General features: G+C 42.2%; 1 protein-coding gene across 2 annotated transcripts in view, besides 1 other annotated feature; it reads left to right on the forward strand.

Moving 5' to 3' along the window:
* The window catches only part of SASH1 (SAM and SH3 domain containing 1), a 358,577-nt gene that overhangs the window by 60,262 nt on the left and 282,679 nt on the right, over nt 1-15,636 (forward strand). The window lies entirely within an intron of this gene.
* Nucleotides 10,818-11,371: an enhancer, noted in NCBI's record as "OCT4-NANOG hESC enhancer chr6:148585683-148586236 (GRCh37/hg19 assembly coordinates)". NCBI's record gives its function as "activates a minimal SCP1, AML or CMV promoter by ChIP-STARR-seq in naive H9 embryonic stem cells {active_cell/tissue: H9 hESC(naive)}" and the evidence as "EXISTENCE:reporter gene assay evidence [ECO:0000049][PMID:30033119]".

The raw sequence follows: 15,636 nt of genomic DNA on the forward strand, positions 1-15,636 counted from the left end.
GGCATGGTGGCACGTGCCTGTAGTCCCAGCTACTGGGGAGGCTGAGGCAGGAGAATCACTTGAATCTGGAAGGCAGAGGATGCAGGGAACTGAGATCGCACCACTGCACTCCAGCCTGGTGACAGAGCGAGACTCTGTCTCAAAAATAAATAAATAAATACATTTAATAAATAAATAAAAAGAAATAAAATATAGGCCAGGCACGGTGGTTTATGCCTGTAATCCTAGCACTTCGGCAGGTCAAGGTGGGCGGATCACCTGAGGTCAGGAGTTCAAGATCAGCCTGGACAACATGGTGGAACTCCATCTCTACTAAAAATACAAAAATTAACTGGGCATTGGTGGCGTGCACCTGTAATCCCAGCTACTTGGGAGGCTGAGGCACAAGAATCGCTTGAACCTGGGAAGTGGAGGTTGCAGTGAGCTGAGATCATAACACTGTACTCCAGCCTGGGCTACAAGCATGAAACTCTGTCTCAAAAAAAAAAGAAAGAAAGAAAATAGAATATAACGCATTAGATGCAACAAAGTTTTTGCAAGTCATATATCTGATAAAGAAACTGGAGCTAGAATATACAAAGAGTGATAACAACTCAATAATAAGACAAGGTAAAAATTAATTGCCACCAGGCACAATGACATGCACCTGTAGTCCCAGCTGCTTGGGAGGCTGAGGCAGAAGGATTGGAATGTAGTGCATTATGGTCACACCTGTGAATAACCACCATACTCCAGCTTGGGCAATATAGCAAGACTCTATCATTAAAAACAAAACAAAACAAAATGCCCATTAAAAAATAAGCCAAAGATCTGAATAGATAGCTCTCCAAAGAAGAACATATGAATGACCAATAAGCACATGAAAAGATGCTTAACATCACTAGTTATTGGGGAAGCAAAAATCAAAACCACAGTGATTTGCCATGCCACACTCGATAGGATGGCTCTAATAATAAGAATTTTTTAAAAAGATAGTGATGAGTGTTAGCAGGAGTGTGGAGAAATTGCAACCTCATTCATTGCTGGTGAGAATGTAAAATGGTGCAGCCATTTCAGGAAAGAGTATGGCAGTTCTTCAAAGTTATACCCAGAGTTTTCATGTGATCTAGAAATTCTACTTCTAGATATATACTCAAGACAAATGAAAACATATGTCCGTACAAAAACTTGTGCATGAATGTTCATAGTAACATTATTCATAATAACCAAAATGTGGAAATAACCCAAATGTCCATTAAATGATGAATGGATAAACCAAATGAGATGTATTTATACAATGGAATATTATTTATCAATAAAAAGGAATGAAGTACTAATCCATGTTACAACATGGATTAAACTTTGAAAAAAATGTGCTAAGTGAAAGACGCCAGACACAAAGGGCCACATATTGCATGAGTCCACTGTTAGTGTGCTAGGGCCGCCATAACAAAATACCACAGTCTGGGTGGCTTTAGCAACAGAGGTTTCTTTTCTCACTGTTCTGAAAGCTGGAAGTCCAAGACCAAGGTGTTGGTAGCCTTGGTTTCTCCTGAGGCCTCTCTCCTTGGCTTGCAGACAGCTTCTACTCCCTGTGTCCTCACATGGCCTTTTCTCTGTATGCACACATTCCTCGGGTCTCTTCCTCTTTGTAATGGACACCAATCCTATTGGATTAGGGCTCCCAACCCTTCAGAAGCTCGTTTAGCCTTAATTACCTCCTTAAAGACCCTATCTCCAAATATAGTCATATGGAGGTTTCAGCCTTCAAAATATGAATTTGGGGGAAATACAAGTCAGTCTATAACATCCTCTTATACACAGGCAAATCTCCTTTTCAGTTGTGGCACATGACTGGACTTGGTTGAGTTTTGAGATGCTGATGAGCTCAAGGTCTGAGGCTTGAAAGAATCACTGAGGCTTTTTTTTTATTTGTTTTTTTCTTTTGAGACAGGGTCTTTCCCCATTGCCCAGGCTGGAGTGCAGTGGCGTGGTGCCATCTCTGCTCACTACAATCTCCATATCCTAGGCTCAGGTGATTCTCCCACCTCAGCCTCCTGAGTAGCTGGGACTACAGGTGTGTGCCACCATGCCCAGCTAATTTTTGCATTTTTGTAGAGAGGGGGTTTCACCATGCTGCCCAGGCTAATCTCGAACTCCTGGACTCAAGCAATCTACCCGCCTCGGCCTCCCAAAGTGCTGGGATTACAAGCCTGAGACACCATGCTTGGCCAAAGCTTTTCAAGTAGATAAGATGTATTTAAACATGTAATCTTTAGTATCTACAGAATGGACATTTTTGCTTCTTTTGTCCCTTTCGTAGTGGTAATAAGGGTGAATTTTGTCATGGCCTCAATTATCTATAGGAATATTTACTTGACAATTTTGTGCCTCTGCCCTATAGCTGAGTTGGTCCCATAGAAAATTTCTGCGGAATTCAATTCCATTATTTAAAGTAGTTTTTCTATGAACCAGCCATGGTCTGTAACTTGACAGTGTTAACACCAAATAGCAAGACCTTAATCATGGTTCACATACTCAACAAAGATATAACTCATCTTAGTTTTTCAAGTAGATCAGTTTTAGAACACATTAATTCTAACTAGACTGACTATTTTACAACTATCTAAGACAACTTTATAAAGTGCTTTAATTTATAAAGTTGTTTTAAAATCACATTCTTTTGACTCTTCTAAAGATTGTTATTTTACAGTATCTTCTTAAATATGTGTATTCTTAAATATAGTATATTCTTAAATATCCTTAAATGGTAGACTTTGATGAATGCACATCTGTAGTACAATGTTAAGCTACCTTCATTTTGTTGGTATGCTAAAGAAACTTTTCAAAGTGTCTCATGTTAAAAATTGGTTTGTGTGTTTTGTATGCTTGCAAATTTTTCCATAGTACCATAGATTATTTTAGTGACAAAATTTGACCCTTTTGATAGAAAAGCAGGTCAGTGAGTTCCTTGGGATCCAAAAGGAGTTGACTGCAAAGAGGCAGAAGGGAATGGTTAGAGTGATTCTATAATTGTTCTGCATCTTGATTATGGTATGACTATGCATTTGTCAAATCTTATACTTAAGAGGGTGAATTTTACTGAATGTAAATTCAGATTTCAATAAACATGACTTTTAAAACTTACAAAATAAATAAATAAATAGGCAAATCTATAGAAATGAAAAGTAGATTAGATCTGGGTTGATGAGAGCTTTGGGGGTGACAGGTATGGGGTGTGGAGGCTTTTTTTGCATAATATTCTGAGGTTAACTGTGATAATAGGTGCACATCTCTGGAATATATTAAAGCCATTAAATTTTACACTTTAAATGAGTGAATCGTATACTATGTGAATTAAATATCAATACGGCTGTTAACAAAAAATACAAGCTTAAGGGCAAAAGAAGTCATTGGTGAAGTCTCTGAGAGGTAGCAGGATTCTATCCAGAAGCATGGAGTTCAGGGCCAGGACTAGTCTTTACCCACATATAAGGAAGAGTCCAGTTCCGATCTTAAACCTTATGGATTGAGGAATCCCAGGTAGAAGGGCAGGCATCAGATCTCTGGCACATGGTTAGGGCTTCCCTGGTGGCAAATGTGGCTTGAACCTGAGTCACATAGGGTTGGCCTAGAGCTTTTTTAAGGAATTTTAAAATTCCTATCCAAGGCTGGCATTCATCTTAGAGACAAAAGTTGACATCTGCCTGGGAAGAAGAGAGTTCCCGAGGCCAGACCTCAAGTAGTCTCTCATGTGTTCCTGACTTCCGTCGCCAATTCCTTTGGAATTTGAATATTAGACTTTAGTGAGCATGTAATCCTTTCAGTATGCTTCTCCCACAAGCTCTGGGTTTTCAAAGCATAAGTCTGCCAAACTGCATTTATTAAGTACACATGCTATATTGTCATTGTCAGTTTACTTTTTTTTTTTTTTTTTTTTTGAGACGGAGTCTCACTCTGTCGCCAGGCTAGAGTGCAGTGGTGCGACCTCAGCTCACTGCAAACTCCGCCTCCTGGGTTCAAGCAATTCTCCTGCCTCAGCCTCCTCAGTAGCTGAGACTACAGGCACGTGCCACCACGCCCAGCTAATTTTTGTATTTTTAGTAAAGACGGGGTTTCAACATGTTGCCCACGATGGTCTCGATCTCTTGACCCTGTGATCCGCCCACCTTGGCCTCCCAAAGTGCTGGGATTACAGGCTGAGCCACCACACCTGGCCGTCACTTTACTTTTGGATCTGTTCCACTAGTCTTTAAGATCCTGGAAGATGGGAATTGTTACTTTTATACCTGCACTCCCAGTGCTTTGCCCACTGGCAAGCACATAAAAATGTTCCATGTTGTTTGATGAGTAAATGAATAGATGAGTACTTGGCTTTCCCTTTTTTTTTTAAGAGATGGGGATCTCACTATGTTGCCCAAGCTGGCCTTGAACTCCTGGGCTCAAGAGATCCTCCTACCTTAGGCTCCCGAGGAATTATAGGCATACCACCATACTCAGCTTTCCATTTATTATGTGTTAGAATGCTCATACCGTCTTGCTTGTGCTAGATTGAGCCATTTTCAAAACTAGCAAACTAAAGAATCCTAAATCATTGATTTTTCCAGAGTCGACTTAATTTTCCATAATAATAGCTTAACATTCATTGAACATTTTTGGACCAGGCTGCACTAAGCAATTTAGATTCATAATTCCTTTGTAGTCCTTACAATAAACCCCTAAATAGATACTTTTATTACCCCCAATTTACAGATGTGAAACTCAGGATCACAGAGATTAAGTAACCTGCCCAAAGCTGCAGAGGTAATAGCAGTGGAACCAGGATTCAAAGCTGCCTCAAACTCACACAGGAATGTTCTGAGATTACCTTACTCCACATGTAAAAATTACTGTCTCAGCAGCCCCTTATATTGAAAAGGGAACCACAGAAATAAGGCACACGTACAAAGAATGGGTGGGCTTCTTTCCCTGGGTCATAGATTCAGTCTGTAATCAACCAAAAGCAGAAAGCCTTCTCGGATAGTTTTCACTGCCTACTGACTCACGGCTTCCACAGTTTTCATTTTATCCTCTTTCATTCCCCTTATACATTTTAGCTGCACTTCACAGGGTTCTGCACAAAGGGAAAACTCAATACAAGTTGAATGTTTACCAGAATGGAACATTCTGACATTTCAGAACAACAGGCTCAGCTTGAGGTGTTTCAAAATGGCATGCACCAAGTGTCCTGAAAGTTGTTATAAGAGATTCAGCAGCTTTCACGTTGACCTCAATGAACAAAATTAAATGTTTGCTCATTTCATGGTTACCATGTTCCAGTGCAAACAGCCTAGTATTTTTCCTGTTTTCTGTTTACCTCCGTTACCTTGGCCATGTCTATATTATGACTGGATGGTACTCAAAGATCGTTGTCTGCGAGGGATGAGGGAGAGATATTTATGCCCAGAGTGGGGGCACCTCCTGTTCCAGGAGAGCTTGGAATCACTCCAGGCCAATACCTAAAGATTCGGAAAGTTAAAACAGAACCATCAGAGTTAATCCTCACACTCAAGGCATTCAGTGTGTCTAGAACTAAGCCAAAATTCTATGAAGGGACAGGGTTGCCAATGCCCATGGTGTAAACAATTCCCAAACTGTTCCCAGTTTGTTCTACTGAACTGCACGGCTGAAGAGAGAGGAAGTCCAGATAGCACTCTTGAATTTTTTCAAAGCAAGGGCAAAATGCCCCCACTCCCCTACCATCCTCACCAATATACAAAAGTAGGTGAGCCACTCCTGTTGAAGGCGCCACGAAGAGCATTCGGTCCTTCACCCATCCTGGCCCTGGTTTATGGCTGTGCTTGTGTCGCTGCCTGTCGCTGGGTGCCCCGGGAAGGCAGGGCTAGGTCTGTCCTGCTCATGATTGTACCTCCAGAACCCAGCACACGCCTAACTTAATACGCTTTCATTCATTGCATAAATGAAATATAAGGTCAATGGAGAAGAAATGCCTGGGAAACATATGGCTGGGAACTGACTCTGCTTTCATAGAGAAGACTTTTGGATCCCGCAGATGGTACCCCTTATACTAAGAAGGGAGTACTTCTGTTGGGATCATAACCTCTTTTTAAAACTAAGGTGATTTTTGTCATTTTAACACCATTTGGAAGCACTGTAAAGCTTGACTTTTTATCTATTTATTTATTTACTTTTTAAGAGACAGGATCTCATTCTGTCACTCAGGCTAGAGTGCAGTGGTGGAAACACAGCTCACTGCAGCTTCGAACTCGTAGACTTAAGTGATTCTCCTGCCTCAGCCTCCTGAGTAGCTAGGACTATAAGGCATGTACCACTGCACCTGGCCAAGTTTGGCTTTTTAAATGATTCTTACCCAGTTTTTATTTCAGAACAAAATGGCATATTTAAAAACCAACATTTTTCTTTCATGCAAGTTTGAATATAATATGCATATATATTTGAAATATATAATCTTTTGAAAATACTAAAAGAACAGAGGTCAGAGGATACCATTTTCATAATGTTTTTCTCACTTTTCATGAAATTTGAAGAAGCTTAATTTTTATATTATGAAATATTTGTTGGAAAGTGTTTCTATTTTAAATCAAGATTATTTTTAAAGCTGGGTGCCATGACTCATGCCTGTAATCTCAGTGCTTTGGAGGCCAAGGTGGGAGGATCATCTGAGCCCAGGAGTTTGATATCAGCCTAGGCAATATAGCAAGAATGCGTCTCTACAAAAAAATCAAAAAGTTAGCCAGGTATGGTAGAACAGCCTGTAGTCCCAGCTCTTGGGAGGCCGAGGCAGGAGGATCACTTAAGCCCGGAAGTTTGAGACTGCAATAAGCTATGATCATGCCACTACACTCCAACCTGGACAACAAAGCAAGACCCTGTCTTTAAAAAAAAAAAAAAAAAGATTATTTTAAAATATTGCTTAAATTATCACGTAAATAATCTTATAGTTGCTCCCCCCAAAAAATCTTATGATAGAGTTTATGCATGTGATATATAAATATAATAACATTAATCAGTTTCTCATGTGTCTTGTTTAGAATCTGCATAATGTTTGGTAAATCTCCTATAAGGGCTTTTTTTTTTTTTTTTTTTTTTTGAGAGAGGGTCTTGCTCTGTGGCCCAGGCTGGAGTGCAGTGGTGCAATCTTGGCTCACTGCAACCTCTTCTGCCTCCTGGGTTCGAGCGATTCTCCTGCCTCAGCCTCCCGAGTAGCTGGGACTACCAGCGCGTGCCACCACACCCGGCTAATTTTTGTATTTTTAGTAGAGACGGGGTTTCACTATGTTGGCCAGGCTGGTCTCGAACTCCTGACCTCAGGTGATCTGCCAGCCTCAGCCTCCCAAAGTGCTGGGATTACAGGCGTGAGCCACTGCGCCCGGCATAAGGGCTTTTTAAATACTAATATATTGTCCAAATTTTCTACTATTGAGTTAATCACCATGAAGATTTCCACCTGGTGTTTGACAAAAGAAAGTCCATAGCAAATCCCTAGATAGAATAGTCAACCCTCACACCTCTGCATTGTATCCAAACAGCCTCTCCTCATTGGAGGGAGTGGCTGTACCACCCAAGCTTCCTGAGTCGGAATTGTGTCGCTTTGACTCTTACTTTCTATCATCTGCTGGGTCTCCATGTCCTTGCCTTTCTCCTACTTATAAAACATGTGCCTCTCTCCCTATGAGAAAGGAGAGGTGATCAGAATATTTCAAGGACTGAATGGAAATGCAAACAGGGCAATTTATATGGTAAGTGGAAGTGGAACACGTCATGAAAGCTACACCTGGGAGGAGAGATTGGAAGCATCTCTCAGCCTTAGCAAAGGATTTCTAGATACAGGTGGCGGACACAAATTGCCTGTCAAGAGATTCACTTCATAACGAGGCCAGCCATGTAGAACAGTCCCAGCGCCACCAGGGGACTGCTGCCACCAGCCCATATCTTTGGGGCTCTGAGGTGGGCTGCAGGAATGACAGTCCTGCATTCTGCCACAACAGCCACGTCCCTGCAGGGTATGGGGGACAGACAACGGGGTTAGTGCCATCAGCCCCTTCATGCTGCCCCTGCCAAACCATCAGTCAAACAAGGAGTAGAAAAGGCATGGGAATAAGAGAAAGGAGGAAGTGATCTGAAATTAGGCATGGTGGGGGATGGGCTTGGGTAGGCAGAAAGGAAATGGAAAAGGACATCCATTTGTCTTCGGGATCTTTCTGTCATCTTTGGTTAACAGTTGAGGGGCATGCAACAAGCAAAAGGATGGAAGAATTGAATCACACTCCATCTTGACCGTGCCTTTTTCATGTTTTCCCCCAGCTTCGTGCACTCAGATGCTCATGAAAACACTGCACTCTTCTCCAGGCCCACACACAAACTGCACACATACACACACACACACACACGCACGGGCTTGCACGCATTTCCCAGTGTCTTATTCATGTCTTTTCACCTCTGTGCTTAAAACTGAACTGACAGTAGGGAGGCTGTGCTGTAGAGTGCGGTGGTCTCCTTTCCCACTATTTAGTTCCTGTATAAGATATCAGTTTTCCTGAACAGCACGGCAATATCACTCTCAAAGTCAAGATCAATTCTAAATGTCTCCCTCATGCAGAGGAGAACCCATTTTTCCTCCTGAGTCATCATGCGCTCCCTAACAAACTTCTGGGACCTCTCATTGAGGACACAGACAGGTGTGGTGTTGCATCCAATGTGGCATTTCCAAGCCAGTTCTCAGCACCCAAGCTCCCTGTTGGCTTGACAGTGTCAAGCCAGGCCACTAGGCTAACTGCAGGACCTGCAGCTACTAGCTTTACAAAAAATCTGGCTTCAAGTCAGACTCAGATAGATCCCAGGGAGCAAGTTGAATAAGAAAAAGTTCAATGAAGGCCGGGCAAGATGGTTCACACCTGTAATCCCAGCACTTTGGGAGGCCGAGGCAGGCAGATCACCTGAGGTCAGGAGTTTGAGACCAGCCTGGCCAACATGGGAAACCCCATCTCTAGTAAAAATACAAAAATCAGCCAGGCATGGTGGCAGGCACCTGCAATCCCAACTACTTGAGAGGCTGAGACAGGAGAATCGCTTGAACCCGGGAGGGGGAGGTTGCAGTGAGCCAAGTGCGCTCCAGCCTGGGTGACAAGAGTAAGACTCTGTCTCAAAAGAAAAGAAAGAAAGAAAGTAAAAGCCCAATTAATGGGGGTTTCAAGCTTAGAGGAACGGAGCTGCTGGGGTTGTAAATTCAGGCAAACATTCAGCACTAGAAAAAACACCATAATGTTAGCACTGGAACCTCTGGGGGAGGCAATGGAGATGCAAGTTTTGAGAGATGATTCTGAAGAAGTTGGAAGAGGACAGAAACAGCAGACAGCATTGCAGAGAGACGGCAGGCAGACTCCTTGGCAGGATCACCCTTAACTCCTCCAGGGTACCTGGCACAGGACAGGTGCCCAAGAAAAACCTGATGAGTCAGTGAATGAATATGCAGTAACTGAAGCCTTCCCCGAAGAAGCAGAAGGTGGCAGGACAAGTTTCATGTTCTTGAGAAAGCCTGTGCCTGCCTGTGGAGAGCCCATCCTTGCATTCTTAAGCAGGTTTTCTGAACTCGTGTCCTGGGGAAGCAGAAGGCAGTTCTGAGGTTCACTGAGCTAGAACAGCATTTTGATACAAACAGACCTGGGCCCACTGAAAGAGTGATGCACTTGGCCAGAACACCACCTTGAGTTCAGTCAGAAAGCACATCTGTGCCTCATTGATAATGTAATAACCTACATTACATTCTTGGCCAAGAGCACCTGTGCACAGCCCAGAAAGTCAGCCCAGGGCAACCATTCTGATGGAGGTGATATTAACAGCTCTCATTAAAACTGATGACTCTAGCGGTGCCCAGAAGCACAGCTAAGGCGAAGCGTCTGTCTGCATTTCCATTACAAGCCCCCGTTTTTGGAGTTCATAACTCAACCATGGAAATATGCTTTGCATTGAACTGGAACCTGAAAAGAAACTGTCACAGGGAAAAGAGAGTTGGACTTTTAGAGCTGTAAAATGTGTCAGTTGTCCACTACCATCTGTACACATCTAACTCCGTGTTAGAAGGAATGTTACTGTTTTCCTGCCCCTGTCTGGATGGTGGAAATGGAAGACTGAGGGTGGAGGACTCATTTCTGAGCTGGTCCGGAGGAAATCTGAATGTCTTAACTTTTATGTATATTGGGGATGCTAAGAGCTCTATCATAATGAAAGTAACACTTGTACGACAATCATTTATCCTAGGTGTCGTTTTGTTTATTGTTACCTGTACAAAACCAGCAAGCAAAGAGCCCCTAGGGCTCAACCTGAGGCTTAAGGAGGTTACATAGGGCTGGATGTAACTTTCAACACCTTTCTCTGATGAAAGGGAGACCTGAAGGTATGCGTTTCAATGACGTGATTTGAAAGGACTCTGTTATCTTTTATTTTGACCGAAAAAAAAAAAAAAAAAAAAGGTCTTGTGAAATGCATTCCTGTCATGGTTGGGCAGGTTAAAGCTCAATGGTCTATATATCTATATCTCTGTCCCAGCTGGGAATGTAGAACAACTCTTACCCATACAAAAATATGAAGGATTAGGTTCATAGAAGACTGCTTTAAAAATATGAGCAGATTATAACTTCTGCTTTTTCTAACAAGTATTGCTTGGGAAGAAAAAGGTCATTATTGTCTTCAGTATCTTCCAGTCCTTTCTCTAAACACCACAAGAATTACATGAAGACTGGAATCAGATCATGCTGTTTCTCTGCTTAAAATTCTTCAATGGTTTCTTATTGGGTCTCAAATAGAATTCACACTCTTCACCATTGCCCATGAGGGCTATACAACCCGGCCTCTCAAGAGCCTTGTGGCCTCTTGTCATGTTGTCCACACCCAGTCATACTTGACTTTTTCCAGTTTCTCAGCTACATCAACCTTTTTTCTCCCACCTCAGGGACTTTTCATTTATGAACCTCTTTGCCAGTTATGTTTCTCTTCCCACACTCAGAGCAGCTGGCCTCTTCATATCCTTTGAGCTTAAATGTCACCTCTGCCTGCCTGCTCCATCACCTCTCCTAACAACCTCCATCTCGACCCCCTGTTGGCTTCTTTTGAAAAATTGAGCACAGCTATTGTTTTACTAATCTGTTTTTGCACTTGTCCTTTATCTATGGCCATCTAGAAAGCATGCTTCATGAAAGTAGGGGCCTTGGCCATTATATTCCCAGTGTCTAGTACAGACCACGTGCTCACTATTTGCTGAATAAATTGAGATTTATGTATTACATAATGCATTATAAATTTAAGCTTTAGTAGTCATTATTCTCTTTGTAGTATATATAATAGAATAATTTCTCCTTGATTTTTATATAACCTCCAGTTTGCAAAGAGGAACTAGAATTCCCACACAAAATGACAGTCTTAGAAATTGGATTGATAAGGCAGACATGACGGCACACACCTGTAGTCCCAGTTGCTTCAGAGGCCAAAACAGGAGGACTGCTTGAGCCCAGCAGTTCAAGGCTACAGTGAGCTAAGCAGGTTCCACTGCATTCCAGCCTAGGTGATAAAACAAGACCCTGCCAAGAAAGAAAAAGGAGGGAGGGAAGGAGGGAGGGAAGGAGGGAGGGAAGGAGGGACGGAGGGAGGGAGGGAGGAAGGAAAATAAATATATTGGATGGATAAAGAAATTCTGTTCTTTTACATCTTTCACTCTCTTTTTAGCACCATAAAATTGTGCTGAACTTCTGCAAAGAGTTTGTGGACCTCACCAAGGTGCTCCCCATGCCTCTTGAACTTGTAGATTCCAGGTTCTTCACCTGATGTACTTTGAGCTCTGAATACTGAGACCACAAAAAAATATGCTCAGCGTTTTGCAAACCTTAGAAAAGTAGACATAAGAGCATTGATTAATGTTCCAACTTGGCCTGATTCACTCAGAACATAAAACTTTGTCCTGGATAGGACTGGCTCAAGACCCCACAGCTAAAAAAAGCCATCTGAGACCTGTGCCCAAGCCTTCTGATGCCAGATCTAGGCCTTAATTCAGGGAACTACTGCTGTCTCTGGAAAGGCAGGGTTAGTTAGGAATTAACAACCCATGATTCTCCAACTGAATCCTTCAAGCACTAGATCCTCATGCTTTTGCGTGACTGGCTCCAGAAGTTTCTTTAAAAATCCAGTCCCCATATTAGAAGTGGTAATACAATTCAAGGAAGTTGTCATTGTCAATCATCGCGTATTCAGCAATTCTTTTTTTTTTTTTTGAGACAGAGCTTTGCTCTCGTTGCCCAGGCTAGAGTGCAATGGCACAATCTCAGCTCACTGCAGCCTCCGCCTCCCAGATTCAAGCAATTCTCCTGCCTCAGCCTCCTGAGTAGCTGGGATTGCAGGTGCCCACCACCACGCCCAGCTAATTTTTTGTATTTTTAGTAAAGACGGGGTTTCACCATGTAGGCCAGGCTGGTCTCGAACTCCTGACCTCAGGTGATCCACCCAGCCTCCCAAAGTGCTGGGATTACAGGCGTGAGCCACCGTGCCCAGCTCAGAAATACTTTACCTGATTCTTTTCCTCTCTGCCACTTGCTGAAATTTGGTTGACTGAACGGAAAATAAGAAAAGGCTTAGATAAAATAAGAAGAATGTTTGCATAGGAATATGACCCTTAGCAAGCCAGTTACTCTCTAAGACTCAGTTTCCTACGCTATAAAATGGGGATATAACATATATGACCTACCTCACAGAGTCTTCAAGACAATTAAGATAATGCATGTAGAGCTCTTAGCACAATGTATACAAAGGGCCCAATGTTAGCTCCTACTGCTGTTGTATTATTATCAATAACAATTCCAACGTAAGAGAAGCTCTAGAAACAAGAGAGCTTTTCTTTTCTTTTTGGACAGGGTCTTGTTCTATTGCCTAGGCTAGAGTTCAGTGGCATAATCATGGCTCACTGCAGCCTCAACTTCCTGGGCTCAAGTGATCCTCCCACCTCAGCTTCCCAAGTAGCTGGGACTACAGGTGTGCACCACCATGCCCAGCCAATTTTTTTTTAATTTTTTTTTTTTTGGTAGAGATGATGTCTCACTATGTTGCCCCAGCTAGTCTTGAACTCCTAGGCTCAAGTGATCCTCCCACCTCAGCCTCCAAAGTGCTAGGATTACAAGTGTAAGCCACCATGCCTGGCCTCTTTTCTTTTCTTTTAAAGGGAGGCTGGGAAAGCCGGAGAGCTAGTAGGAGCCAGGGCACATAGAGAGTGAGGTAGTAGCATGCCTAAGGTACACCTCAGCAGTTCCAGAATTCTGCTGCGAGTGGTCCTCCATCAAACTACTTCACCTCTCTGAAGTCTAGTTCGCTTACCTGTAAAGGAAAGATAATAACCAACTCTAACCTACTTCACCAGGTTGTCAAGGATTCAAATAAGACACACATCTGTAAAAGCACTTTGTATGTCTTAATGGAAATGTTAGATATTGCTTTCACATATGTTACAGATAACTGGCTATTGTTTCAATCAAGTCAGCGGTTCTAAACTTTGGCTGCAAATTAGAAGCACCCGGAAGCTTCAAAAAATCCAAATGCCCGGGCCACACCATAAACTAAGCCAGAATCTCTTCCGTGGGACCCAGGCCCAGTACTACTTTGTGTGTGTGTGTGTGTGTGTGTGTGTGTGTGAGATGGAGTCTCACTCTATCGCCCAGGCTGGAGTGCACTGGCGAAATCTCGGCTCACTGCAAGCTCCACCTCCTGAGTTCAAGCAATTCTCCTGCCTCAGCCTCCCGAGTAGCTGGGACTACAGGTGCCCGCCACCACGCCCGGCTAATTTTTTGTATTTTTAGTAGAGACGGGGTTTCACCGTGTTAGCCAGGATGGTCTCAATCTCCTGACCTCATGATCTGCCTGTCTAGGCTTCCCAAAGTGCTGGGATTACAGACATGAGTCACCGTGCCCGGCCCCAGTGCTACTTTTGTAAAGCTCCCCAAGTGATTCCAATATCCATCCAACATTAAGAGTCAAGAAATAAAATGTTTCTTAAACCTTCCCAATGATAAGGAGCCCCAGAGTCCCACCATACCTGCAGAATCAGCCTTCGAAGGGAAGGGGGCGTGGAGTCTATTTTCAACAGGCATCCTTAGCTGACTCTTAACAGCAAGCAATTATGAGAAACAATGTGTTGAATCATAGTCTGAGAGTTGGAAGGGATGTTGTTTAAAGTCTTCACCCTTGAATCATCTCAAAACCATGTGAAACTTTATGAATCCCACGAACGAAAGGCCAATGTGTGTTAACCCACTACATGAACAATAAATAATACGACTTTTAGCTATTCCTCTGTGCTGGAATCATCACCAGCCTCTCAGTTCCGTTTAGTTCCTGAACTTTCTAGTTCAGGAAATTTTGACTGACTGAAGAGATTTGCAATGATAAGAAACTTTTCTGAATCAAACAATTTGGGATGCTAGGAAATGCACAGAAAGAATCTTTCATTTAAAAAGAAATATTCAAATATTGTGAAATAAAATAATAAGCTGAGCTTTTTGATGTCCACAAAGAGAGCTGACCTCCAGGTGGTACAGACACAACTAAATTTTTATTATTTTTCTTTCAAAAGGAAATATTGCACAGTTCTATAAAGCTTACCCTATTACTTGAAGCTCACATGGGAAAGATAGGCAGATAACATTTAATGTAAATAACATACAAACAAGCTACTATGTCGCAGAAAAGTGGAAAATATCAAGAAAAAATGTAATCAACTGCTGATATGCAAGTTGTAAAACTCTGCTCAACTCTGTGCAATTTCCCTCATCTACCATTTTGAAAGCATCAAACTGACAGAATGGTTGGTCTATCAGCTTCTGCTGAACATTCTCATGTTGTCATTGAAAAGTTAAGCTTTGTGGAATTCTGTTCCCTCTGGGGTCACATTTACCTGCATGGCCTAAGTAGTTAACCTTAAAATATTTTCTCCTTTCTATTTCTTGCACTGTTTTGAGTCCAGCCTTCATCTCAGCTTTGTTTGAGCCACAAATACTGTCAATATTCAGAGACTATATTTATTTCTAAGCTTTTTAAGAAGAAAGATAATGGAGATTGATTTTAATAAATAGATGAGTTTCAGATATTTGCATTTCCTTTATAATGGCTTCATATCGGTTACTCAGTTCTAAACTTTGTCAGATAAGGCATTGGGGAATAACAATGCTGGATCCAGTTTGAATTATGTCTTTGGAAATTATAGCCACTCGTTTCATGTAATAAGCACTTGTTTTCATGTGCATTCACCATGCCCATTTCTTAGTATCTCTTTTATCTCTTTTTATTTTTGATAAAGTGTTTTAATAGAGAATATCACTGTAGCCTACCTTTTAATAGTATGAAATAACAAGACATTATTGCCAGGTTTGTTTACATTTGGAAAAAGTCCTTATCATTAATAAGAGGTATACTATAAATGCTTGGAGTCCCATGCCCCATGGAGGAGCTAGTGCACATGATACCTTGAGCAAGAACAGAGCTATGGGCACTCCCAATTGTGTGCCCTCCCTCTCAATTGGTTTTTGTCTTTTTTAATTTTTTTTTTCTGGGATACGGTCTTCCTTTGCTGTCCAGGTTGGAGTGCGGTGGCACAAACCTCCTAGG

Source organism: Homo sapiens, chromosome 6, assembly GCF_000001405.40.
Source record: "Homo sapiens chromosome 6, GRCh38.p14 Primary Assembly".
Taxonomy (NCBI): domain Eukaryota; kingdom Metazoa; phylum Chordata; class Mammalia; order Primates; family Hominidae; genus Homo; species Homo sapiens.